The sequence below is a fragment of the Homo sapiens genome, chromosome 1, assembly GCF_000001405.40.
Source record: "Homo sapiens chromosome 1, GRCh38.p14 Primary Assembly".
NCBI classification, from domain to species: Eukaryota; Metazoa; Chordata; class Mammalia; order Primates; family Hominidae; genus Homo; species Homo sapiens.
This window is the reverse complement of record NC_000001.11, coordinates 41,093,504-41,120,953: the sequence shown is the minus strand read 5'-3', so window position 1 is coordinate 41,120,953 and position 27,450 is coordinate 41,093,504. Positions and strand designations below refer to the sequence as shown.

General features: G+C 38.7%; 1 protein-coding gene and 1 pseudogene across 42 annotated transcripts in view; one reads left to right on the top strand and one right to left on the bottom strand.

The window, feature by feature from the left end:
• The window catches only part of SCMH1 (Scm polycomb group protein homolog 1), a 215,105-nt gene that overhangs the window by 121,353 nt on the left and 66,302 nt on the right, over nt 1-27,450 (top strand). For 39 of the 42 annotated variants that reach the window (NR_135092.2, XR_946584.3, XR_007096354.1 and 36 more), the window contains 2 exons: nt 3,944-4,032; nt 7,428-7,671. The exons of 1 other annotated variant lie outside the window; for it this stretch is intronic. Coding sequence is in view for 34 of the 41 variants with exons in the window: in NM_001394301.1 (NP_001381230.1) it covers nt 3,944-4,032; nt 7,428-7,671 (333 nt within the window). In the remaining 7 variants the exon portion in view is untranslated. Of the gene's footprint in view, nt 1-3,943; nt 4,033-7,400; nt 7,672-27,450 lie in introns of all 42 variants that reach the window. 2 more of the 42 variants (NM_001394309.1, NM_001350668.2) reach the window with 1 other exon arrangement.
• On the bottom strand, nt 21,771-22,155 carry RPL23AP17 (ribosomal protein L23a pseudogene 17; annotated as a pseudogene).

Below are 27,450 nucleotides of genomic sequence, written 5' to 3'. Positions count from 1 at the left end.
ACAAGGAGCTGGCTCATGATATGTGTACAATAAATGTTAACTTTTGGAGGCAACATAGTGTAATAAAAGAGATAGTGTAATAAACATAGTGTAATAAAAGAGAACCAAATAAGAAGTCCTGGGGTTCCAGCCTGACAGTGTAAGATTGGCTTGTGTGACCATGAACAAGTTTCTTAGCCTCTCTGGACTTCAGTTTCATCATCTGCAATGTAAGATCTTTGTACTTCATGGCCTCTGAGGTCCCTTTCAATGTTAAAATTATCTACTATCTATGATTGCCCAAGAATATTGAGGTAAATTATGGATATACTTGAATTTGAAGGGATAGAGTCCCACATCACCTAGCGGATTGAGGAATAAGATACCTTAGCAATTTCTTGGGTTCAAAATATTTCTGCTTTGCCCCTGTACTCTTGAAGAATCCTGCTGGTAGTGAAACATAGTAAAGAACCACAAAGTTTGGTATCCAACCACCATATATTGAAATCTGTCTCCGGCATTTACTAGCATGACCCTAGACAAGCTGCTTCTCTGAGTTTTCATTTTTTATCATCTGTAGAGTAGGGATAATAATAGTGCCTGCCCATGTTATTTCAAATATTGAGTAAGAAATGGCATATAAAATGTTTAATACATGGTAAGCATTCAATATATATTAACTATTATGATAATATTGTAATGATTTCCAAAGCTGAGAGGATTTTTTAGCTCCTTAAGCTTCAGATGAGATAGAAACCCCCCAGTAACCCCTACCTCAAAAATGGAATTGGGAATTACATGGCTAGGCACTCTAGTCATTGATAACTATAGGCATTAAACCTGAATTTTCTAATTGTGCAGGCCTCCCTATACCAAGGTGTATAGACCACTTCTCTAAAACAGTAGTGCCTTGCTTTACCTTATCCATAGGTGTACCAAACCACTCATGGCAAAGCTGCTCTGGGTTTGGCTTGCTTCAGCCCTTCCCTGACCTAAGGAGAGTTGTTTTCCCACATAAACACCACGCTTGAATTTCTGGAGGGATTTAATTTTTTTAAACCATTGTCAAAAGAAGAGTAGCAGTTAAAAACCCAGCTCAAACCAGATTAGAGAGGGAAAAAAGGAGGAGGCAGGAATTATTAACTCATATAACCAAGAAGTCCAAGGATTTATCTGGTGTTGAGTGTCTGAGTACTGGGTTTTAAACACTATTATGTGTCTCCATCCCATGCTGTACTTTGGCTTTATTCTCAGGTCTGTTCTCCATGTAGCAGTGCCCAAACTGCAAACATCCTTATGGGCATGTTCTCAGACAAAGAAAGATGTTCTTCTCCAACGTCAATCTCATGTCAAAAAACAACTGGCCTAACATGGGACATAGACACATATACACTCTTGGTCTAGGGGAATTTGATGCTCTTAAACAGCATTGTGTTTTACCCCAAGGCCAGGTAGGTAAGGACCACATATGTGGTTGACGTGCCCACCAAATCATGTGGAGTTACGGTGGGGTTTTTTTTTTTTTGTTTTTTTTTTGCCCTAAAGGGAAAAAAAAGCTGGGCAAGCAAAAAGGAAGTGATGGCAGTTTTAGATTGAGTGATAGGAAAGTCCACATTGCTGTTGATATGGATGGGCTGTCCCAAGAAATCTCTTTACCTTGGGAAGGCTGGCTTAGCCTAGCCAGCTTTGGGACTAAAAGTTTAAATAGTATGGAGTGGTAACTCTTTTTTTATTTGCATTTCCTTGTCACCTCCTCCTCCTAACTTTAATTACAGTTGTTAATTGATACTTTTTTCCAAAAGCTGAATCTTCCCTTTTCATTTTACCCATACATTGCCAGTTTTAAAGTGTGGGCTCAGGAGTCAGATTGCCTGAATTTTAATCCTGTCTTTTCGTTTGCTCACTTTGAAATCTTAAGCAATTTATTTAACTTCAAATAAATTGTACCTGTTTCCTCATCTATAAAATGAAGATAATATCTACCTCCTAGGGCTGTCTTGAGGATTAGATAGTCAATAGAAAGTGATTGGCATAGTGAACAGTAAAGTGCTCAATAACATCAGATACTGCTGCTGCTGTTATTTCCAGCTTTGCAGCTTGGGTGCAGCTTATCTGTTCTTTTGTTTGGAGTGGGAAGGCTGAGGTAGTTTGGGAAATGCTCAAAAAACATTAGGTTTTGTTATCTCAGGATGCAGAGTTGAAGCAAATTGAAAGAAGCACTTGGGGCTCTAATTGGAAGACCTAACTGTAATAATGATCTTATTTTTACAATTCATTGATAGGTGATAATGGACAGTTAACCTCTCTAGGCTTCTTTTTACTCTTTTGCAAAATGAAGATTTTTGGATAGGACAATCCTTTCCAATGTCATTCCTTGGTCCTTAGTTGTTTAAGTAAACAATGAACTTCAGAAAGTATTTTGTACTTGGTGTGTGTATGTGTGCAAGACAGAAAGTGATAAGAGAAGTAGTGAGTTAGTTTACATTGAGAGGAACCAAAATGATTTACTTATATATTGGGTTTATCGGTTGACATGTTTGGTTTCTTCTTAAGAGATTATTAGATCCCCTTTCATACTCTACTGTCCAGATCATCTCTAAGTATTCGTTAATCCTATCACATCTTTTTTGGATTTTTCAAATGCCTAGAAAGTTTTCTAGGCATTACGTTATGTGTTCTGTAGTACTTGTCTTAGGAAACTTGGTTTGGAGACTCTGTCCCACTATTTACTTTACAGCATTACCTTGGACAAGTTACATTCTCTCTTATGTGCCTCATTTTCTTCATCTGTCTAATGAGGTGTTTCTCCTTTTTAACCCTTAAGTCCTTTCTTAACAGTCTGTGATTCTGTAACTATCACAGCATAGGAGTAGCTGGATTCTAAAGGCTGAACTTGATATCATAATGTAGAGTCCAGCCCCACAGGGTTGGTGGGTTTTCTCCCTGTGTGCGGAGACAAGAGAGTGTAGAAATAAAGACACAAGACGAAGAGATAAAAGACAGCTGGGCCCAGGGGGACCACTGCCACCAAGACACAGAGACCAGTAGTGGCCCTGAATGCCAGGCTGCGCTGATATTTATTGGATACAAGACAAAGGGGCAGGGTAAGGAGTGTGAGCCGTCTCCCATGATAGGTAAGGTCACGTGGGTCACGTGTCCACTGGACAGGGGGCCCTTCCCTGCCTGGCAGCCGAGGCAGAGAGAGAGAGAGGAGAGAGAGAGAGACAGCTTACGCCATTATTTCTACTAATCAGAGACTTTTAGTACTTTCACTAATTTGCTACTGCTAACTAAAAGGCAGAGCCAGGTGTACAGGATGGAACATGAAGGCGAACTAGGAACATGACCACTGAAGCACAGCATCACAGGGAGACAGTTAGACCTTTGGATAACTGCAGGCGGGCCTGACTGACGTCAGGCCCTCCGCAAGAGGTGGAGGAGTAGAGTCTTCTCTAAACTTCCCCGGGGAAAGGGTGACTCCCTTTCCCGGTCTCTAAGTAATGGGTGTTTTTCCTTGACACTGACGCTACCACTAGACCACGGTCCGCTTGGCAACGGGCGTCTTCCCAGACGCTGGTGTTACCGCTAGACCAAGGAGCCCTCTGGTGGCCCTGTCCGGGCATAACAGAAGGCTCGCACTCTTGTCTTCTGGTCACTTCTCACTATGTCCCCTCAGCTCCTATCTCTGTATGGCCTGGTTTTTCCTAGGTTATGATTGTAGAGCGAGGATTATTATAATATTGGAATAAAGAATAATTGCTACAAACTAATGATGAATGATATTCATATATAATCATATCTATGATCTATATCTAGTATAACTATTCTTATTTTATATATTTTATTATACTGGAAGAGCTCGTGCCCTCGGTCTCTTGCCTCGGCACCTGGGTGGCTTGCCACCCACATCACCATTCATTTTTGAAACATACTTTTAATCTGTTGCCCATTATGCTTGCTGCAGGATTTCGGCTGAATGCGTCTTCTTGGCCCATGTTCCTTTTGAAGACGCTAAATGGAGCAGAGATGGCTCCCATCAGGATTTTCCACAAGGTAGGCTATCCCTCAGATATCACCAGCTCCAGGCTGCTTAAGGTCAAATATTGAGACTTTGATGTCCACATTTACTTATGGCCTGAAGATGCCTTCTCAGAAATTAGTTCAGAAGGATTTTTTAGTAGCTTATGAAGCAGCAATTATCCCCAGAGGAATATATTAGACTATAAGGTCCCATAGATTAGATTATATGGTCCCAGCTTCCAGTAATCTCTGTTTACCTGTCGGGCTTGTTAAGAAGTTAAAATGTATTATTAGTAGAATATGTTAAATGTAATACAAATCTAAAGGCGCTATTCTTATTATAGATCTTGGAGTTCTGTAGAGTTCATGTTCTAAACAGAGAAAAGAAGGAGACTTTTTTTATTGCCTACGATATGTTTGGGACTTTATATATACTATCTCATGTAATACCCACAGCTAACTTTATGAACTAAGAATTATTATTTCCATTTAATAGTTAAGGAAACAAATACTTTTGAATTAGGAGCTTGCTCAAGATCACGTGGCTAGTAAGCGGCAGAACAGGGATCCAAAACCTGTATTTGTTATTGCTTCTCAAGAAGTGAGGCAGTGAGTCTATCAGTTGAATTTTCTAATGGGGTAAAAGTTACTGTAAAGGGTATTAAATTAGGTTTGCCTATGCTGCTAGTTAAGTCTCAACACTAAGAGCATCCTGCTTCTGAATTACCTAGCACTTATGTAACTCAGGAGTAGTTCTTGTATTCTTTGGGACTAGAAATAAAGATGAGTTTTAGACTTTGTTATGCCAGCTGTGCAGTAAAGGGATCTACCAAAAGACTCCAAGTAGAATGTTTAACTTCCGGATCAGTGGAGGGGGAAAATAGAAGAAAACTTAGTTGATTGAAAAGGAGAAAAAAGAACTTTGGAAATTCAAATTAAATAGAAACATAGACAATAAGGTAGTTGTAATAAATTCAGATACATCAATTATCACAAGAAATGAGCTTAAGCTCATTATAATCATACATAGATCAGATTTTTAAAAATCTAGCTATATGCTATGTATAAGAGACACTAAACATAATGACAAAAATGTTGAAAGTAAAAGAAATCTACAGAGGGTGGGAATGATGGAAAACAAATTTTTTAATTTTTAAAAAAGAAAATAAAAGAATATGAAAGATGTGCCAGATGAACTTTTATCAAAATAAAGCTGGCATAAACTATACGGAAATCACGCAAGACTTTGATACTAAAAGTCTAAATGATGCTAAAAGCACTGAGTCCAGGAATTTGAGACCAGCCTGGGCCACCTGTAGCAAGACCCCGTCTCTAGAAAAAATTTAAAAATTAGCTAAGAGTGGTGGCACGTGCCTGTAGTCGCAGCTACTTGGGAGACCGAGGTGGAAGAATCGCTTAAGCCCAGGAGATTGAGGCTGCAGGGAGCTGTGTTTGCACCATTGCACACCAGCCTGGGTGACAGAGCAAGACCCTGATTCTAGAAATAAATAAATAAAATGCATTAAAGAGGTCACTATCTAATTATCATAAAGTACAGTTCACCAGGAAGATAAAACAGTCATAAATGTACATGCTCCTAGAAAATGTAATCTCAAAGTATAATAGAGCAAAATTTGACAAAATTACATGGTAAAATTGGAAAATCCACAAATCACTAGGGAATATTTGAAGACTTATCTCTTAACAATTGATAAATCAAGCACACAAGAATTGGTATGTCAATCAGCATAAGCTAATAATCAGTATCGAATAAGTTGGTCAATTTTTAAAAATCACTTTATTTGCATTTAACAACAGTTAAATTTAAATGATTTGAAAATAAATTTTTTAAATGCCACTTATGATAGCAATGGAATTGTAATTTGCCTAGAAAAAAAGTTAGTAAAAAAGCATGAGATATTTATAGAGGAAATTTTTAAATGTATGTTGAAGAAATCTGCATTAAAGAAATCTTGGCCAGGCACGGTGGCTCATGCCTGTAATCCCAGCACTTTTTGGGAGGCCAAGGCATACGGATCACTTGAGGTCAGGAGTTCGAGACCAGCTTGGGCAACATGGTAAAACCCCATCTCTACAAAAAATAACAAAAATTAGCAGAGTGTGGTGGTGTGTGCCTGTAATCCCAGCTACTTGGGAGGCTGAGGTAGGAGGATCACTTGACCCTGGGAGGCAGAGGTTGCAGTGAGCCAGGATTACACCACTGCACTCCAGCCTGGGTGACAGAACCAGACCCTTTCTCCAAAAAAGAAAGAGAGAGAGAGAGAGAGAGAGAAAGGAAATCTTAACAAGTGGAAAAGACTATCATGTTTATGGATGGGAAGGCTTGATAGTATATAATAAAGGTTATTTCCACCCAAATTTATCTATAAATTCGTTGTAATTCCAGTCAAAATCCTAATAGGGTTTATATATGGAACTCGAAAAAACTGATTGAAATTTATATGAAAGACAGAGAATGAATAGCAAAAACAATATTGAAGAATGACAAAGTAGGGGGACTTTTCCTATCAGATATCCATTTAATAAGACTATGTTATTGGTACAGGATCAGATAGTAAGATTAAGGGAACAGAATAGAATGTACAACACATTTTTTGAAACTTGATCTATGTAACTGCATTACAAATTAGCACCCAGGAACTCTCTACACTTCCGGTGAAAGTATACAATGTTACAACCACTTTGGAGTACAAGTTAAAAATATTTGATAAAGCAGAAGATGTATATATCTACCCTATAACCCAGGAATTCAGGAATTCTACACCTAGATGTATAACCTAAAGAAACCTTCCTACACATATACAAAGAAGTGCAAGGATGGTGGTTAAAACTCTTTTAAAATAGTAAACAATTGGAAAGATCTTTAAGTGTCCAAAGGAGAATGAATAAATTTCGATATATATATACAATGAAATACTATTACAAGTTAAAATGAATCAGAGCTAAATTTATCAACATGGGCAGATTTCAAAAACATACTGCTAAACAAAAAGCAAATTGTACAATGATATATACAGTATAATACCATTTATATAAAATTTAAAAGCAGGCAAATGGGTATGTATGTATATAGTAAAATATAAAACATGCATGGGTAGCTGTTACCTCCGTGGTAGGTAGAGGGGGAATGGAATATGGGAAGGGCAGAAAGGGAGATTCAACTTTATCTGCAACCTTTTATTTCCTTTTTAAAAAATCTGAAGCAAAGTTGTCAAAATGTTAGGATTAATAAAGTAATACTTTAAATATTGAAATATTGAATTTAAAATTAATTTAAAAGAAAGGCTATATATCCATTATAAGTCTCATGTAGCAGTCACTTTTTAATCATCCAAATTAGATAGTAGTCTATTGGCATAATGGCCTCTCTTTGTGTCTAGGTGTGTATGTTTCTGTTTCTCATCTAGGAGCCACCATCGCCTTCCCACAACTTCTTCAAAATGGGAATGAAGCTAGAAGCTGTGGACAGGAAGAACCCTCATTTCATTTGCCCAGCCACTATTGGGGAGGTTCGGGGCTCAGAGGTGCTTGTCACTTTTGATGGGTGGCGAGGGGCCTTTGACTACTGGTGCCGCTTCGACTCCCGAGACATCTTCCCTGTGGGCTGGTGTTCCTTGACTGGAGACAACCTGCAGCCTCCTGGCACCAAAGGTAAAGGCCCATCTACGTGCTCTTGAAATCAGGACCCAGATGATAAGGGAGACTACCCAGGGCTGTCATGATCATATCTTCACCAGTATACTTCACTAGTATGCAGGGGAGGAGCAAGGGCCAGCAGCTTAGGTAAAAACCCAGGTCTACCAGGGAGCAATTAGAAACAGTTAAGTATTAAGTGTCAAATGAAACCGCATATGGCATTTGGGATAAAGTAATAATTCTTTGCTCTACATATCCTGGTTTATTCTCAGGCAACCAGCTTTTCATCTCTCTTACTTTTGTCCCTAACCCATTACAAAGTTTGAGTACTAGTATTCCCAAGGCACACACCTTCCTCTGACCTTAGGGGCTTTGGATAAAAGCTGGAGTAACACTGTATTGTAAAAATAGTTGAGAAGCACTGTAGCAGGATGGAAAAAGAACAAGCTTTGAAGTAAGATAGACATGGGTTTGAGGTCCATCTTTGCCTTTTATCAGCTGTGTAGCTTTGGGCAGTTAATTTACCTCCTTAAACTACAAATTCCACATCATGAAGTAGAAAACCTACTTTATGAAGTTATTGTGAGGAATAAATGAGATTACATGGGTAAAATGCTTACATGAAAAGTTGATGACTAGCAAGTACTAAACAAATTTTTATTGTATTACTGCTGCTATTATAGTTATATTCTATATTATAACTATATCATATTATACTATATGATTATTACAATATGCTATATTATCATTATTATAAAACTAACCACTACCTATGAGAGAGTATATATAAAGTACTAGAATAGTGTCACAGACTAAATGAACAATAAAATGATACAGATGATGACAGTGGAGAAGGTCCAGAATAGATTTTGAGGTAGCTGCTTTTAGTAAAGATAATAATAATAATCTCATCCTCTTAAGTCTAAAAAGTACTGGTGAATCTGAGGGAATGAAAAGTCACCCTTCTTATTGTCTGAGGATCTTTTTCTAAACCTCTGTTGAATTCATTCATTCAATTAGCCAAATATTTATTGAGCACCTAATTGTAAGCCAAGCTGAGAGTACACAAGTGACAAAAATGAACAACATTGCTGTGCTCATGACACCTCCATTCTAGTTGGGTGAAACAGATGGTAAACATTTAAATCAAGAAATAAGATAATTTCATATAGATAATTTTTATAGACAGAAATAAAATAATTTCTCCTAAGGAAATAAAGTATGATGGGATAGTGACAGTGAAGGTATAATTGTAAAGGGTTTTTTTTGTTTAATAGCCCTATTGAAATATAATTGACATAAGATAAATGGCATGTATTTAAAGTGTACAATTTGAAAAGTTTTGACATCTATATACATCCATGAAACCATTACCACAATGAAAATAATGAACATATTTATCATTCACAAAAGTTCTTTGTAGAGGGGAAACTTGTTTAGGAAGAATTTCTTTTCAAGAAATTTGTCTGAAAAGTTGATACTTGAATTGAGACCTGAATGATGAGAAGGAGTCATCCAAGGAAAGAGACTTCCAGGCAGGCAGAAGGAACAACTAATATAATGATGCTGAGACATGAGTGAGTTTGCTGTGTTCCAAGGGCAGAAAGCAGACTGCTGTGACTAGAATGCATTGCCTGAGCAAGAAAGTGGTACAAGGGGCTGGGTGCAGTGGCTCACATCTGTAATCCCAGCACTTTGGGAGGCCAAGGCAGGCAGATCACCTGAGCTCAGGAGTTTGAGACCACCCTGGCCAACATGGTGAAGCCCCATCTCTACTAAAAATACAAAAATTAGCAAGGCGTGGTGGTAACACGCCTGTAATCTCAGCTACTCAGGAGGCTGAGGGAGGAGAATTGCTTGAACCTGAGAGGCAGAGGTTGCAGTGAGCCAAGATCGCACCAATACACTGCAGCCTGGGCGACAGAGCGAGACTCTGTCTCAAACAAAAACAAGCAGTGCAAGATGATGTTGGAGAAGTGGACAGGTGCCAAATCATGTAGGACCTTGTAAACCAGAGTGGGAATATTGGATTTTATTCTAAACATATTAGGGAACCATTAGAAGGTACTAAGCCAGGGAAGTGACAAGATTTGATTTACTTTAAAAAAATCACTTGGACTTGTATCCAGAATATAAAAGAACACCTATAACTCAATAATAAAAAAGACAACCCAATTTAAAAATAAGGAAAGGATTTGGATAGATATTTCTCCAGATAACATACACAGATAGCCAATAAGCACTTAAGATGCTCAATATCATTCATCATTAGGGAAATGCAAATCAAAGCCACAGTGAAATACAACTTCACACCCATGGATACAGCTATAAGCAAAAGACAGATAATAACAAATGTTGCTGAGAATGTGGAAAAACTGGAATTCTCGATCATTGCTGGTGAGATTGGAAAATGCTGCAACCACTTTAGAAAACAGTTTGGATGTTACTCAAAATGTTAAAGAGTTACCATGTGACCCAGTAAGTCCACTCATAGATATATACCCAAAAGAATAGAAACATATGTTCACACAAAAACACATAATGAACATTCATGGCAGCATTATTTATAGTAGCCAAAAAGATAAAACAACCCAAATGTTCATCATCTGATAAATGGATAAATAAAATGTGGTATAGCTAGAGGACAAAATACTAATTGGCAATAAAAAAGGAATAAAGTACTAATACATGCTACAGTATAGATGCATCTTAATAACATTATGCTAAATGAAAAGCCAGTCACAAAAGATAATCATTGATGATTACATTTATATGAAATGTCCAGAATTGGCAAATACACATAGACAGAAGTAGATTCGTGGTTGCCAGTGACTAGGGGAGGGAAAATGGGAAATGACTGCTATTGGGGTTTCTTTTGAGGATAATGAAAATGTTTTAAAATTAGGGATGATGTTTGCACAACTCTGAATATCTTAGAAAACACAAATGTAGGGTGAATTTGTGGTATGTAACTTATGTCAATAAAGCTATTATCTAAAAAAAATTACTTGAGCTGGTCTGTGGAGAATGAGTTGTACAGTGGTAATTGTGGACAAGGAAGAAATGAGGTTGCTTGGATTAGGATAGTTGCACTGAGGTGGAGAGATCCTCGGGCAGAATGAAAGGGAAACACACTTCTTGGCTCAGGAAAGTGCCACTCCTCTCTGTGATGCAAGAAACAAGTACCCTGGGGTCAGTATGGTAAATGCATTGTGAGGAAGCACTGTGAGGTAATAGCTCTGTGGAAGCAGCAAGAAGCGAGGTACCTTGGAACTGATAGCAGAGTCATTTTTGTTACTTGAGGCTAAAACAGGATAAGCCTTGGTGCTCTGGGCTTTATTCAGTTAATAGGTTGATTTTCTCATTTTCATGCCTAGGGAATTCACTGTTCTTTTGACTGATAAATCTAGAGCAGTTAGGCAGTTCTCCAGAGCCAACAGAGCTGACGGTCTTTGTGTCCAGGTTGCTGGATATGCATTCCTTTTTGGCTGCAAACCTTGCTGATAAGAAATATGACTCACTCTGTGGCTGATGCTTCCAGAGAAGTTTGCTGACTGTTTTCCTCTCTTCTGTGTCTCTGGAGTCCTTAGATTTTCAACAGAAGATGGTCAGAGGACCAGGCTCAGAAGGTAGAGAGAGACCTTCCAGGTGACATTTCCAGACCAGGTGCTTCAGTCATCATTCCAGCAGTTAGGTTGTTCCCTCTAACAACTGTCTCCTCCCACACTTTACACCCTCAGTAAGTCCTACAAAAGCGCTTTCTATAACAGCAGAAGTTTGGCCAGCAGTCTCCATGTCCTGGCTAAGGAGCAAGTGATGCAATGTGGAAAAAATGTGGTTACTCAATTCATTTCACAAAACAAGTTGTTCTCTGTGTGTAAGCCTGTTCTCTTTCTAATCATACTATTTCCTCCTTCTTTCCTACCTTCTGGTCATTAGTATGCAAATGTTAAAAATTCAGAGTAAGATAATGTTTCCTGCTCATGGCAAATAGGAAAAACCAATATTTATTTAATGTTCCTTTACACACAGATTTTCATTTTATCTTCTGGTAACTCTGAACAAGGTATAATTATTTTCAGATACATTTTATTTATGAGAAAACTGAAGCTCAGATAATTAAATGACTTGGCTCTGTTGATATCTGAGTCTAGAGAGTGAAACCATGGAGATCTTTTAGTAGAGCCACCTGTCAGGACCAATATATCACTGAGGCATATTGTTTTCACACTTGTCTCCCTGATACTCTTCCCATTCTCCTTTGGCCCTTCTTCAAAGCTTCATTTGAGACCCTGGATTTTGGCTTCCAAATCCTGATAAAAAATAGGAAAGAAAAAGTATGGTGTAGTATCAGAGCACTGAACTGGGTTCTAGTCCCAGCCAGGCCACAAACTTGGTTACGTCATTGAGCAAGTCATTCTTACATGTGAGAGGCTGAACTACATGATCCCTAGTGGGCACTTTTACCTCTGTAATACTATCTAGTTTAATGATCTTGGGAATAGGTAGCAGGTGACTCCTGTGCCTCTGTCTCCTACATGATTTTAGGTTCATCAGCTCACCTATCACCTATCTCTGCCTTTTTGAAGTAATTCCTGTGTGCCAGCTGTCTGCTGCCTCTCTTTTTCTCCTTTTCTAAGCCAAGTAGTATCCCTTTTAGTTGCTAAACTCCTGTGGCCAAGCCAACTCTGATGGGTAGTAACTACCAAGCGTCCAACTAATCCAGAGTACTTGGTTATAAAAGGCAGAAGCTTTTTACTTTTAGCTTATTTTTTGTGACTTAAAATAAAACTGAAACAGATACATGCTTTAGTTTTTAAATGTAAAAAGCAAAATGAAGAATTCAGTACATATGGCATGACTATGATGCTAATCATACCTTTAGCCATCATGATAATCCACTTGACTTCCCCTTGCTCTGATTTCAGGCTGGGAAAGCCAGTTTCAGATTATACCTTAGCTCCCTATGTGGATTGATAGCAGCGAGACAACATGAGACCCAAGCTACTTTATATTTTTATTATAAATTAATATATTGCTATTCTGGATTAGTACATTCGTCTCTTGTGACTTCATATGTTGTTAAACTGGATCTGTCTGCTGTCTACATGCTAATCCAAATATGGGAATCTAGTAGAGGTGCTGCACTTTAGCATACCTGTTAGAGTACATGGTCAACCAGGCCTCCTTTACCCTCTCAGTCTACCCTTTCTACCTGCGACAGGTTTCTTTGTACAAAGCAAAAATTTCAAAATCGGACTCAACATCGTGGCTCACGTACAGGATTCTTACACTGGTCTGGAGGGTAATAATTTGATGCTTAGAAACAAAACTTTCAGAATATCTTTTCCTTTTTTTATTTGGAAAGTGCTTTCCATACTTAAAGAATGTTCTCTTTTTGTTTTAAAACCACATACGAAATTATGCCACAATCACTTTGGGATTCTAGGGCAGAAAGAGTTAATTAAATTGTAATCCTAGGCTAGGCGCAGTGGCTCACGCCTGTAATCCCAGCACTTTGGGAGGCCGAGGCAGGCAGATCACAAGGTCAAGAGATCGAGACCATCCTGGCCAACATGGTGAAACCCCGTCTCTACTGAAAATACAAAAATTAGCTGGGTGTGGTGGTGCCCACCTGTAGTCCCAGCTACTCGGGAGGCTGAGGCAGGAGAATCGCTTGAACCCAGGAGGCAGAGGTTGCAGTGAGCCAAGATCATGCCACTGCACTCCAGCCTGGTGACAGAGCAAGACTCTGTCTCAAGAAAGAAAAAAAAATGTAATCCTAGACTACAGAGAGAAAAACTAGGATAGAGGCAAGAATAATACAACTTAAGGCTAACTTGTAGGTCTCAACATGAGGTCACCTGATAGACTGATCTTCCTCATCCATCCATTTATTCAAATTCTAACTATCAAGTCATGATTAAGTACTAGTCATTGGCTCAGTTGATGGAGATTCTGCCGTTAGTGTTTACAGTTTTGTGAACATATAGACCAATAAAGTACGACTTTGGAGGAATAAAGTACAGAGGGACCCCAACCTAGATTGAGGGGACTGGAGGTTGGAGATCTCTATAACCTCCCTTGAGCCTAGCATGTCTAACATGGGCTGCTCTATAGCTATTGGGTAAATGGATGAATAAAGGACAAGACTTCCAAACGAAGGCTTCCAAATGAAGTGATGTCTAAGCTGAAACCTTAAGAATGGGAAGGTAGAGAAAAAATTCTCTCTAGCAGTGGAAACAGATTAGTGTAGGGCCAGAAGTTAAAAAAAAAAAAAAGTATGGTCAAGGAATTAAAAAATAGTTAAGGCCGGGCGTGGTGGCTCACGCCTATAATCCCAGCACTTTGGGAGGCAGAGGCGGGTGGATCACAAGGTGAAGAGTTAGCGACCAGCCTGACCAATATGGTGAAACCCCGTCTCTACTAAAAATACAAAAATTAGCCAGGTGTGGTGGCTGACGTCTGCAGTCCCTGCTACTCGGGAGGCTGAGGCAGGAGAATCGCTTGAACCTGGGAGGCAGAGGTTGCAGTGAGCTGAGATTGCGCCACTGCACTCCAGCCTGGGTGACAGAGTGAGACTCCATCTCAAAAAAAGAAAAAGGAAAAAAGAAAATGGCTAGATTGTAGGGTGTAAGTAGAGGAGCAGAAAGAGATAAGGCACAGCAGAGGAAGGCGCAGAATGCTTCCCTCATAGACCATCTTAAGGATCTGGATTTTTACCTTATGAGCATCGAGAACTGTATTAGGCTGTTCTTGCATTGCCATAAAGAAATACCTAAGACTGGGTAATTTATAAAGAAAAAAGGTTTAATTGGCTTAGAGTTCTGCAGGCTGTATAAACACGGTGCTGCATAGCTTGGCTTCTGGGGAGGCCTCAGGGAGCTTTTACTCATGGTAGAAGGCAAAGCTGGAGCAGGCAGATGGCAGTGTGGGGAGGGGGGTGTCACACTTTTACAACAACCAGAACTCACTCACTATCTCAAGGACAGAACCACACCCTGAGGAATCCACCCCCATGACCCAAACACCTCCCACCAGGCCCCACCTCCAACGCTGGGGCTTACAGTTTGACGTGAGATTTGGGCAGGGACAAAATATCCAAACTAAATCAAGAACTATTGGCTGGGCGTGGTGGCTCACACTTGTAATCCCAGCACTTTGGGAGGCCGAGGCGGGCAGATCACCTGAGGTCAGGAGTTCGAGACCAGCCTGGCCAAGTTGGTGAAACCCTGTCTCTACTAAAAATACAAAAATTAGCTGGGCATGGTGGCGTGCACCTGTAATCACAGCTACTAGGGAGGCTGAGGCAGGAGAATCGCTTGAACCCAGGAGGTAGAGGTTGCAGTGAGCCAAGATCGTGCCACTGCACTCCAGCCTGAGTGACAGAGCAAGACTCTGTCTCAAAAAAAAAAAAAAACTATCAAATGGGCTTTTAAGTAGTAGAGTTACAGCTCAGATTTGTGTTTTAGAAGGACCATTTTGGCAACAATGAAAGGACGGATTCAGATGCTGGAGTCAGGGATGCCAGTTAACAAGCTGTTATAATATTCCAGGTGAGAGAGAAAATTGAAGCAGTGACATGGTGGTGAGGATAAGATGGGGTGGGGGGCATATTCTTTGAATAAAGAAGACAAAATGCAAGTTCTTAATGTGTATCACCTATTGTGACTATTTTATTTATTTAACAAACAAGCCCTGTACCATGTAAAATAATGCCAAGTTTTCAGTGTAAGTATTTATGAGGAGCTAAAATTCTTCTTTCTGTCATGTCTAGGAAGTTGGGATTGTTTTCTACCTGGAGTCCATGTTAAATGGAATGAATTTATTAACTGCCTCTTTATGTCCCCACCACTTGGAACATGCCATTTATTCAGTAATATCTGTTAACTGAAATAGGTTATACTATATTTTCTGATTCCATTTCTGTTGATCCTCATCTAAAGCCGTTATTCAGATATTCACTTAATTACAAAAAATAAGAATACTACTCGCATCTATGACAAATTTGACAGATTATTAAAAGCTATTTAAGGCCAGGCACAGTGGCTCATGCCTGTAATCCCAGCATTTTGGGAGGCTGAGACAGGTGGATCACCTGAGGACCAGAGTTCAAGACCAGCTTGGCCAACATGGTGAAACCCTGTCTCTACAAAAATACAAAAAAAAAAAAAATTAGCTGAGCATGATGGTGGGCATCTGTAATCCCAGCTACTTCGGATATTGAAGCAGGAGAATCACTTGAACCCAGGAGGCAGAGGTTACAGTGAGCCGAGATTGTGCCACTGCACTCCAGCCTGGGCAACAAGAGTGAAACTCCATCTCAAAAAAAAAAAAAGGCTGTTTAATGTTACGGTTTTTTAATTTTGGAAACCTAATGGCCAAAAGTAAGAGTGGCACAGGGCACTAAGATTTGTTTCCAGAGCCCATATTCACTCACCTCTCAGTTACTAAACACATGTACACCTCTACACCTGGACCACCCCCTGCCCTTCCACCCAGCTTTTTTTCCTAATAAGCCACAACAACCAGGAGGGTGTGGTCTCTACAGGTTTGGCAGCTAATATACCCCTCTTGTCTCCTGAGAAGGTGTGTTCACTAGCCACTAGTTCAGTAGTTCACTGTCAGAAAAGATATGAGCATGTTGGTTAATAAGTGAAGCAAATTCTTTTTTGTTTATTGATATGTAATAATTGTACATTTTGATGGGGTACCTGTGATATTTTGATACATACATACAATGCTTAATGATCAAATCAGGGTCATTGGGATATCTGTCACCACAAACATTTATCATTTATTTGTGTTGAAAGATTGCAAATCAAAGCTAACTTTTTGGTGCCTTTAATGAGAATAGCCACTCAGGTACTATTTTCCCTTTAACCCTCTCAGATATATTGTGTCCAGACCTTGCCCCTATTTATATACCATTTCCTCCTTCCATAAACACACGTATGCATATAGTCTCTGTCCTTATTTCAGCTTTGGCCTTGTGATCTCATCACATCTGGTAAATCCGTCCTTTATTCACCTATCTATCCACAGTTACAGGCTCATGTTAGCAGTGCTAGGTTCACTGGAGGTTATAGACAAGTGTCTGCCTCCCCAGTTGATTGAATGATTGAAATGAGAAAATTGGTGGCAAATGCATAGCACCATGTAGCACGTAGTAGATGCCCACTGTGCGTTAGTTGCATCTGAATCAAGATCCCCAGGCCTCCCAAGAAAAGGGAACTGCACGCAGAGCCAGGAAAGTGCTCTATTTTGGTCAGGAAAAATAAATATGAGATGAGGCTTCTGCAGTGAACCAGTACTCTCATAACTGATTTTTTCTTGGTTATATGCTTGTGGTACACAAATAGAAATAGGAAAATGGGGAAGTGAGATGGGTGGAGTAGATTATGAAGCAGAGAATCTGGGTTCTCCCACTGATTGTAATTAGGTCTGCCCAAGGGACCAGAAAAAAAAACTCCCATTCCATATCTCTCTTCCAGAATCCTTAAGCTGCCCCTTGACTCTGCCCATTCGCTCTCTCTCTTGCCCTCACAAACTCCAGATGCCTGAGAATGGTAGCAGTTTTCGACATGTATAATGAAACAATTGGCATCTCTCAAGCTGTTTGAAATAGTGAGATGTGATTTATGCAGTTCATAAATTTGACCACATTTACTGTTTTCTTGGGAATACATAGAACCCATATAGGGTTTTTTTGGCAAGCTTTTATTGTAACACCCACTGTGCCAGCATCAATACATATCAATTTACAAAATCCCCAATTTTAAATAAGTGTTGGTGATTTTCAGGAAAATCTTACTGAAAACCAGTGATAAATTGTGTTACTAAATTTCTTCCCTTGGGCCGGGCGCAGTGGCTCATGCCTATAATCCCAGCACTTTGGGAGGCCAAGGCGAATGGATCACTGGAGGTCAGGAGTTTGAGACCAGCCTGGCCAACATGGTGAAACTCCATCTCTACTGAAAATAAAAAAATAAAAAAAAATTAGCCAGGAGTGGCGGCTCATGCCTGTAATCGTAGCAACTTAAGAGACTGAGACAGAAGAATCGCTTGAACCTGGGAGGTGGAGGTTTCAGTGAGCCGAGATCATGCCACTGCACTCCAACCTGGGTGACAGAGTGAGACTCTGTCTTAAAGAAAAAAAAAAAAATTTTCTTCCCTTGATTCCCTAGATTATTTTTGAGGAACTATTACAGTTATAAATGAGAATTTCTGAATCTCAATAATGACTTAATAGAAAAAAAACAAAACATAAACATTCATATATGTTAAGAAGATGAGAAAAACCTGGCAAACTCAAACCAAGCAAAGAAAAAAGAGGAGGTTCTGAGGGTGATATGGCAAGAAGGCAGGATTGTGGTTGTAAGCTGTTAAAATTTATTGTCTTGTGCTAAGGAAAGCTGGAATGTTTTTGACTGTGTGGCTGACTAGCAGGTGCTTTCTCACCATGTGCTTTCATGCCACCTTTCTGAGTGGCCTAAGCTTGACTAGCCATTAGCAGACCATCTTCTAAGAAAATATAGCCCTCCACTTGCCGAAACTGCTCCTGAATCATCTTACCTACTGCCCTAGAAAACTAAGGTCAGTTGCACCTTTTAGTTTCAGTAATATGAGGCTTTTGAAGTTTGTGGTCCTATCATGCATGATTTTAGTTATCTGTTTTCCCCCACTCTCTGCAGATTTATCAGCCTGAAGTCCCCAGGAAAATGTGACATGTCTTTGTAGTTGCAGAGGTCCTCTATCCATGTTGTAGGAATGAGTCAGGAGAGAAAAAAGGAGCTGGATATGGAGTACCAAAAGTGTTAACTGAGCTGGATCAGAGCAGGAGGCAACCCATGCTGTTTAAGTGAACTGGAATTTAGAAGACTGGAGTTTCAGCCTTGGCATCAGCCCAGCTGGCAGCACATAGCTGAACCCAGCCAAGTTGAGCAAAGCTAATAAAAAACATATCCTCTAAATTACTATACCAAGGCCAATGATACACTACTGTGAATGAAAAATAAGATTCCATTCCAGGAAACTGATAAACCAAATGGATTTTCCCCAGCTCTTTTTTTCTTTTCCATTGTTCATGCTCTCCTATGCCATGTAGACACACACACACACACATGCGTGTGCATGCACAATAGCCTATTTTACATTTTATTAATTTATTCCCAATTCCCTATGCTCTGTTGTTGCTATAGAGACGAGAAATCTGATGATAAATTCTTTTGGGCAGTTAAGACTCCTAAGGATTATTTAGAGAAACCTAGAAGGCAGCAGAGGCCTAGTGTCCTTCATTATTATAACTAGGCATGTTTAGTTCTTTATCTTCTCTCTTTTATTCAGGTATACACTAGTGTTTTATTCATTGGTTTCAGAGTAACATAGTGGAAAGAATATAGACTTTGGAGACCAAAAGATCTAGGTTCAACTCCTAGCTTTAGCTATGTGGCCTTTGGCAAGTCTTTTAACTTCTGTGAGTCCAGTGTCTCCATTTTTAAAATATCCAAGTATGATAGTTGACTCAGGAAAAAGCATTTGTGCAATTGTTTGAGTTGTAAGCTCAACTAGCTACTTTTTTCATGGAATATTATCTTTGCTTGAAAAAAACAGCGGACTTGGATATTTAGCAGACATTTTCTCCAAAATGAAATGATCTGATCACTTCAAGGAAGGCAACCTATAAGCATTTTCTGTGAATTATAAATTTAAGGTTTCAAATGAAAATTAAAAATTTTGAAAAAATGTGTATATCCACCAGAATGAGCTTTACATCTTATCAATAAATACAGACTTCAGAGTTACTCTTTACCATTTCTCTCCCATCTAAAAGTTACATTGGTTAAGAATCAGTTATTTGCCCTACTATTAAATGTGAGATGTGAGGAAAGTAAAAAGTCATAGAGTCTTAGAGTGCTGGGGCTAGAGGAAATCAAATTCAACCTCCCACCTAACTTAAGACTCATCTTGAAACCATCCCTATAAATGCTTATTTGCTGTTACTTAAATGCTCCCACAGGCAGAGATTATAACCTCCCAAAGGAGCACTTTTAATTTGTGATAGCACAAATGTCTAAAAATACTGTTTTTTACTGTAAGCTGAAATATGCTTTCCCCAGTATCTATCCATTGGCTCTAATTTGGTTTTTCTTTCATCCAAAACCTTTTCACATACTCTTGTTTCCCTAGGTCTTTTTTTCCCCGCTATTTTTGAGATTGTATAGTTTCTAAGCCCCTCATCATCTTGAGCTCTCTTCTTTTTTTTTTTCTCCCCGCCTCCCCAACCCCAGGTTCAGCTTTGACTTTAGAGTTTTCTTTTCTTGATCCATTTAAGTTTACAATGCTATGCCTAGAATAAACTCTAGACTGCAGGGACAGCCTCATTAGTGTGAAATGGAGAGGCATTCTGATTTCCCTTTAAAAAGGACTATACTGGCTGGGTGCAGTGGGTCACGCTTGTAATCCCAGCACTTTGGGAGGCCAAGGCAGGCGGATCACGGGGTCAGGAGTTCGAGACCAGCCTGACCAATATGGTGAAACCCTGTCTGTACTAAAAATACAAAAATGAGCTGGGCGTGGTGGCAGGTGCCTGTAGTCCCAGCTACTTGGGAGGCTGAAGCAGAAGAATAACTTGAACCCAGGAGGCAGAGGTTGCAGTGAGCCGAGATCGTGCCACTGCACTCCAGCATGGGCAATAGAGTGAGACTCCGTCTCAAAAAAAAAAAAAAAAGAAAAAGAAAAGAAAAGGCTATCCTATGACCTCACATGTTAAAGATAAGGGATTGTGTTTTTATATTTTTGTATTCTGTAATGGTCATGGTAGATGCTTTACGTTACTCCTTGTCTAGTCTCAGCGCAAGTTGAACCAAACTTAAAGACATAATGGCCATGCTAGATGAGGGGATTTTCTGGTAGTTAATTTTTTTTGCTGCCTAGGGGGTAGAAATGGTAATTTATAAGACTGGGAAAGTACCTTTTTTTGTTGTTGTTAGAGACGAGATCTCACTATGTTGCCCAGGCTAAGTGGAAAGTGCTTTTACAATTCTCTTTTATCACCATACCCGGGTTTTGATAAACTTAGTATTCTCCTTAGTAAAAGTTTTCATCAGATACTTGCTCTTTTTTATCTTGTGATAACTTTTCTTCACTCAAATCAATAGGGAAATACAGTATTTGCTGTATAAAAACATAGAAGCCTACCTTAGAGCTGAATTCACTCATTTATATATAATCAATAATCAGAGTATACCTATAGACACAGTCTTATTTTGAGCTTTCCATGGAAAAGAGTGTAGGTCACCAGGCTAGACCATAAAAATATGTTTAAACTTTTGTTTTTCTCCTGTTTAGTACTAGATTAAACTAATCACCTTTTCTAATGTTGTTTAGAGCATGTTTACTGAGCATCATCTTAAGAAGAAAGAAAGTTAACATTTAGCAAGCCCATACAAGGTCCTAAAGACACTTTGATACATTATCTGAGTAAACTTCACAAACCTCCAGTGGGATTTATAGTATTTGCCCATATTTTACATAAGGAAACGGGCTCAGAAAGGTTGAGGGGAAGAATAAGAAACTAAGATTTATGGAGTCCCTAGGTCATGTCAGACACAGTACTCATATCCACATTCTCAAACTTTATCTCAGCTAAACTTCATAATAACCCATAACTTAAAGAGGTTATTTGCAAGGACTTGAACCTAATTCCATGGGTTTCTGACTTCAAAGTCAGTGTTCTTTCTTTCATACCACACTTCACTTCTCTATGCCTCAAAGGAGATTTAGAGATAACCGTTAGGTAAATAAGGCTGAGATAATTGTGAATATGGGGTAAATTAATGAATGTTAAAGTACTTTGAGAATTATGAAGTGTAAGTCTCATATGATAGGTTTCCATCTGTGATTTTGGAAATGCATAGTGAGACCTACAGGAAATTCCAGGGCCCTTTTTTAAACCAGCAGCTGGGAGTTTGGATGCGTTTGAAATGTGTGTTGGGAGTAGAATGAGAAGGATTAGGAGTGGAAGAGAGATCCTTCAAAGCACTAATGTAATATAAGATAGAAAGAACTGTTGCTGATTTGATTTTATTCTGCATCCTGTTTAGATTTGCTATATTTTTATGGTGAAAATATATACATTTAGAATTAGCCAGCTGGACTCACTTTAGATAATCCCAGTTTTGTTGGCAACATCCAGAGCATCATAATCAGGAGCCAGTCAAACATCTGCCTTCTTCTCTCCCTCAGGCCTGATCAGGGTGTTGACCACATCAGTGTCATAGAGCTTCTTTACAACCTGTTTGATCTGGTACTTGTTGATTTTGACATCCACAAGTGTGTTGTTGTCTTCTATCTTCTTCATGGCTGACCCAGTGGTCAGGAGGGACTTAATAATGGCATAGCGGTCACGCTTATTTCTTTCTCCTGTGGGTGCCCTTCCAAGGATATTTGGGCTGCCTCCAGAGCTGTAGTGTCTTGGGCTGCCAGGTTGGTGACATGTACATTTGTGGGCTGGCGGGGGGTGGGGGTCGGGGGGAGGAAGGGGGAGGGAGGGAGTGCCTGTGGTCACTTTTCAGTACTGTCTTTTTGGCCCTCAAAGGCCTTGCTTTGGCTTTGGCTTTGGGAGGGACAGGAGCTTCCTTCTTTGTCTTCAGTGCCATCTTGTGAAAAAAGAGCTACATCTGTATATTTTTTCAGAACCATAAAATTCTCACAGAATTTTCAAAATGACCTTTTTAGCAATTTACTGTCACTTCACTTAACCTCCCTTAGCAAATTATTTAACTTCCATTAGTCTTTGTTTCTTCATCTATAAATTGAGGCAGTAACAGTACCTACTCACAGGGTTGTTGTAAGGAGTTAAGAATTTACATATTAGAACACCTGGCACATATTAAGCATTCAAAAAATGTGAGTTATTTTCTATTTTAATGCTGTTATTTTGTGAATAAGGAAATTGAAGCCTGGTAAAAGGTCACTTTCTCAAGTTTTACTTGAATTAGCTACCAAATGATATATGTTGTTTGTATGATAATAAATAAGGTGAGTCTTTCATAAGTAGTATTTAAAAGTTTCAGTTTATGTGTATTACAGAAGCAGGTGCTTGTGAAATAGTTGTCAAAATAGAATGAAATATTTAAGAGTTACCCAGAAATATATAATATATAAAGCTCAAAATAATACTAATAGAGACTGAGTAGGTGAAAAAGAGGGAAGACTGGATAGAACTTATTGGGATTTGTGTCATTTGCTGAAGGATGTTTAGAGTTGATAACCAGTTCGAGAGGCAATTAATTCCAGGGGGCTAACATGCAAGGCACCAGCTAAGAAAAAGAATCGTTCCAAAAACTTAAGCACAGAGACTATGTCAAGAAACTGAAATCAGACAAGGTGAAAGAATAGCACGGCTTATTCTGAATTTACACAGAAAATATTACAAAGAGACTATTGAAGAATTTTAACCAAAGGAGTGACATGATCACATTTGTGTTTTAGACAGATCTTTATGACCTGTTAGATAAGGAATAGAGGTAATGATGGGTTAGAATAAGTTAGAGGGAGAGAGACTGGTTAGTTCACCATTTCAGTGATTAAGACAAGGGATTTTGAGGATGTATATTAAAGTTGAGGCAGTGGTATTTGAGTGGAAGAAATGAATTTGATTAGCTAGCTGTGGTGGCACATGCCTGTAGTCCCAACTACTTGGGAGACTGAGGCAGGAGGATTGCTTGAGCCCAGGAGTTTGAGGCTACAGTGAACTATGATCGTGCCACTGCACTCCAGCCTGGGTGACAGAGTGACACCCTGTTTCTAAAAAAGAAAAGAAATGAATTTGAGACATTCGGGAGACAGTTTCTCTGGAAAAGACATTCTTTTTTGAGCCGCATTCCTTTAAGCTTTCAGTACTAGAGGATCCTAAAACTAGAAGCAGACTAAGATCAAATGCTAGGGAAACCGTGGACTTGATGCCAAACTAAGCAAAAAGAATAAATGCTGAGTTGGAGGTAGACCGTGTCATTAGCAGAATATGCTAGATCTAAACATGAACAACCAGAAAGCTAAGTCTGAAATCAGTCAGCAGAGTTGCAAATTAAGAAGACTAGTTGTCCAGATGAGTTTCCAGTAAAAGATAACAATTTCTCCTAACCTTAAAGGCCAATACTCTGAGCCAGTATCTGACAAACTAACTTGATTTCTAGATATACATTTTACTTCAAGAACACTAAACTAATTATCCATTTATTATTTTAGGTAAAGTATTTTTGCCCTTTTGTATACTTAGACATATTGCACATTGCCAAAACTGGAGCAGAACTGAAGGGCCCCAGAGTGATTAAAAACTAGCATGTTCTTTGAACTAGTTTGAAAGACTGGAAATTGCTGCTAATGTGTGTAATCCCTTTAGCAGCTGGTCCCATCTAATAGCCCAGTTACTGCCTGTGAAGTGGTAAGCATTAGGATTGTTTCATACTAATTATTAGCATGAGAAGAATGAGAAAAAAGGTAGGGAAAGGAGAAAGAAAAAGATACTAGCCTGTCTGCACTTTGTGTAGTCATGTTGGTCCACTATGGCCATAGAACAGGATTCCCTTTGACTGTATCCTCTACAGGAGCAGAGTTTCAGGGTCCCAGAACAATTAGGGTCAAGAGTATCATTTTGCCGTAGTTGCCTGATGAGTGTTTTATTTCTTTTCCTCTCCAATCTACCCTGCTCTTCACCTCCCACGTAGCAACATAGTAGCAGAAAGTTCACTACAGTCAGATGAGAACAAGGCTAAGGTTTATTGAGCGTTCACTATGTAGCCAGTGCCGGACTGATCTCTTCAATTGTTATTTCATGTAATCTTGACAATAATCTGTAGGTAAGTACTATTATCTATTTTACAAATGAAGAAACTACAATGCAGAGAAATGAAGTAACTTCCTTAAAATCACACACCATGTTCAAATGTCCAGCTCCACCTTTGCTATTTATTTCCTGGGAGATCTTAAGCAAGTATTTTTCCTCTATAATGTTTAGTTTCTCCATCTATTTTTTAAAAAGGTTAAACTAGATGACATAAGGTTGCTTCCAACTTTCAGTATTCTAAGACTGTGTTGGGTAAATCATTCCGTTAATAATTGTAATAAGTCATAAAAGTTCAGTGTCTGTTCCTATTATTGCTAGTATTATTGAATCTAGTGTTAACCTGAGCTTCCTACCTTCCTAACCTCTTTTGCTATTGTTAACATTTTGTATATTCTATTCTGGTTTTTATTTTTTACAGTTTTTAAAAATGCAGTTTAATCACACTGTATATTTTACTGTATGCTATCCTATTCTGTTTTTCACTAAATATTATCTATCTTGTTCTGTGTTGTTATACAATCTTTATAACCATCATTTTAAGTTATTATGTAAGAGTCAATTGAATGGATATGCAATTGTTTGCTTAATTATTCCCCTAGTTTAATGGTCCAAATTTTCTTTTTTAATAATGATATGATAAACTTACTTAAGCATTTTTCTCAATGCCAAGGAACGTATCCTTAGTTTCCCAGAAATACAAGACGGTGTCAAAGAAAGAATATTTTTAAGAATCTTGGCTGCACAGAGCCAAATCTGCTCATTTGAAATATATATATTCGCATGTTCAACCAAGAATCATCTGCTTAAAATCGACCAGAATATAGCATCAGAATGGCACATTTTCCTGCTTCCAGCATATTTTTATATAGAAAACATAGACCCCAGGAGGTAGGAGGTCAGCACTGTCATATACCAGTTACAACATTCATAACTACAGTAGAACTTATTACAAACCAGAGGAAATATGTCTAATTTTTTTCCCAGTTTTCACTGCCCAATACGTGTGCTGTCACTTGGGAATAGGTTTTACTCAGAATTGTGACTGTGGGACTGCAAATATTCCCTAGGAAAAAGACTGCACATAGTATATCCAAGGCCCAAAGCTTTGGGGACTACATGGAATATAGGTTAGCCTCTGTTTTGAGAATTTGTAGTCTGCTAGGGAAATAAAACATAAACCACTGAAAAAGCAGTCAAAGTGAAGCAGAATTCTAGAATCAAATGCTAGAGTATGGGTTACATTTATTCACTCAACTAACATTTATTGAGCACCCACCATGTGTAAAGCATAATTGTAAGATGTGGACATAACAACATAGTCCTTAAGAAGTTGTATTCTAGTTGAGAGAGACATAAACAGGTAAACTGGTAGCGATAATTTATCTGGAGAAAAAATAAAGACAGGTAAAGCAGAAGAAGGAGAATAGAGAGTGCCAGGGGTTTGGGGGTGATGGGTTGGAGGTATTGTTTTATATAGGATGATGAGGGAAAGCTTCACTGAAAGGTATCATTTGAGCAGAGATATGGCTGTCTAGGAAAAAGAATTTTTTTTTTTTTTTTGAGGCAGAGTCTCACTCTGCTCCACAGGCTGGAGTGCAATGGTGCAATCTCAGCTCACTGCAACCTCCGCCTTCTGGGTTCTAGCAATTCTCCTGCCTTAGCCACCTGATTAGCTGGGATTACAGGCACCTGCTACCAAGTCCGGCTAATTTTTGTATTTTTAGTAGAGACGGGGTTTCATCATGTTGGCCAGGCTGGTCAAAACTTCTGACCTCAGGTGATCTACCAGTCTCAGCCTCCCAAAGTGCTGGGATTACAGGCGTGAGCCATGATGCCTGGCTCTTTTTTTTCTTTTTAAAAAAATTATTTTATCTACCACTAAGAGGGAGAAAGAAATTCTTTCTTAGTAAAGAGAGTTGAAAGTTTAAGTGCACCAAAGCAATAGTTTGCTTAGTTTAACAATTCTCAAACTGTACTCCTTGGATCCTTGGGATCCCCAAGACCCTTTCACAGCATCTTCAAGGTCAAGACCATTTTCATAATGTTAACTCTACTTGCCTTTTTTACTGGGTTAATATTTGCATTGATTGGTATAAAAGCAATGGTAAGTAAAACTGCTGGCACCTTGACACAAATCAAGGCACCAACTATAGTAATAGTAATGATATACTTGATTGCCACATGTTGCAGGGGGACCAAAACAAAACCAAAAAGCAACTCGGGCATAAGCCAAGTTCACTTAACAGTGTCCTTGATGAAGCAGTAAAATTTATTAAGCTTATTAAATCCCAGCCTTTGAGTAGATATCTTAACATTCTTTGCGATGAAATGAGAAGTATGACTAGTGCAATTCTGGTGCGTACTGATGTACTGTGGTTGCCTGAAGAAAAAACGCTTGTATAATTGAGCTGTCAGCTGAACTAGCTACTTTTTTATGAAACTCCATTTTTACTTGAAAGAATGACTAACAAGACAAACTCGTTATTCAGATTTGGGTGTTTGGCAGACGTTTTCTCAAAAATGAACTAAGTGAGCCTGTCACTTTAGAGAAAACAGCTAATAGCATTTGTTAGCAATGATAAAATTCAAGCTTTCAAATGAAAATTAGAATTTTGGAAACCTTGTGCCTGCCACCATAATCTTGACAGCTTCCCCGTACTTAAAGACTTTTCTGATGAGATTGTGGTGATACCAACTAATGTGTATTTTTGATACTGAATAATAAAATATGCTGATATTTGGGAAATCTGTATAACTCAGTGAAACAGTGTTTTACAAATGACCAATGCATGATATTACAAAATCAGGCATGGATTAAAAATTCATTCAAAGTACAAGATAGACTAAAAGATTTTAATATTAACAGAATATGAAAAGTTTATTAGTATTATTTCAACTTTCACATTTTGATTAACTTTTTTTATTATTATTATACTTTAAGTTCT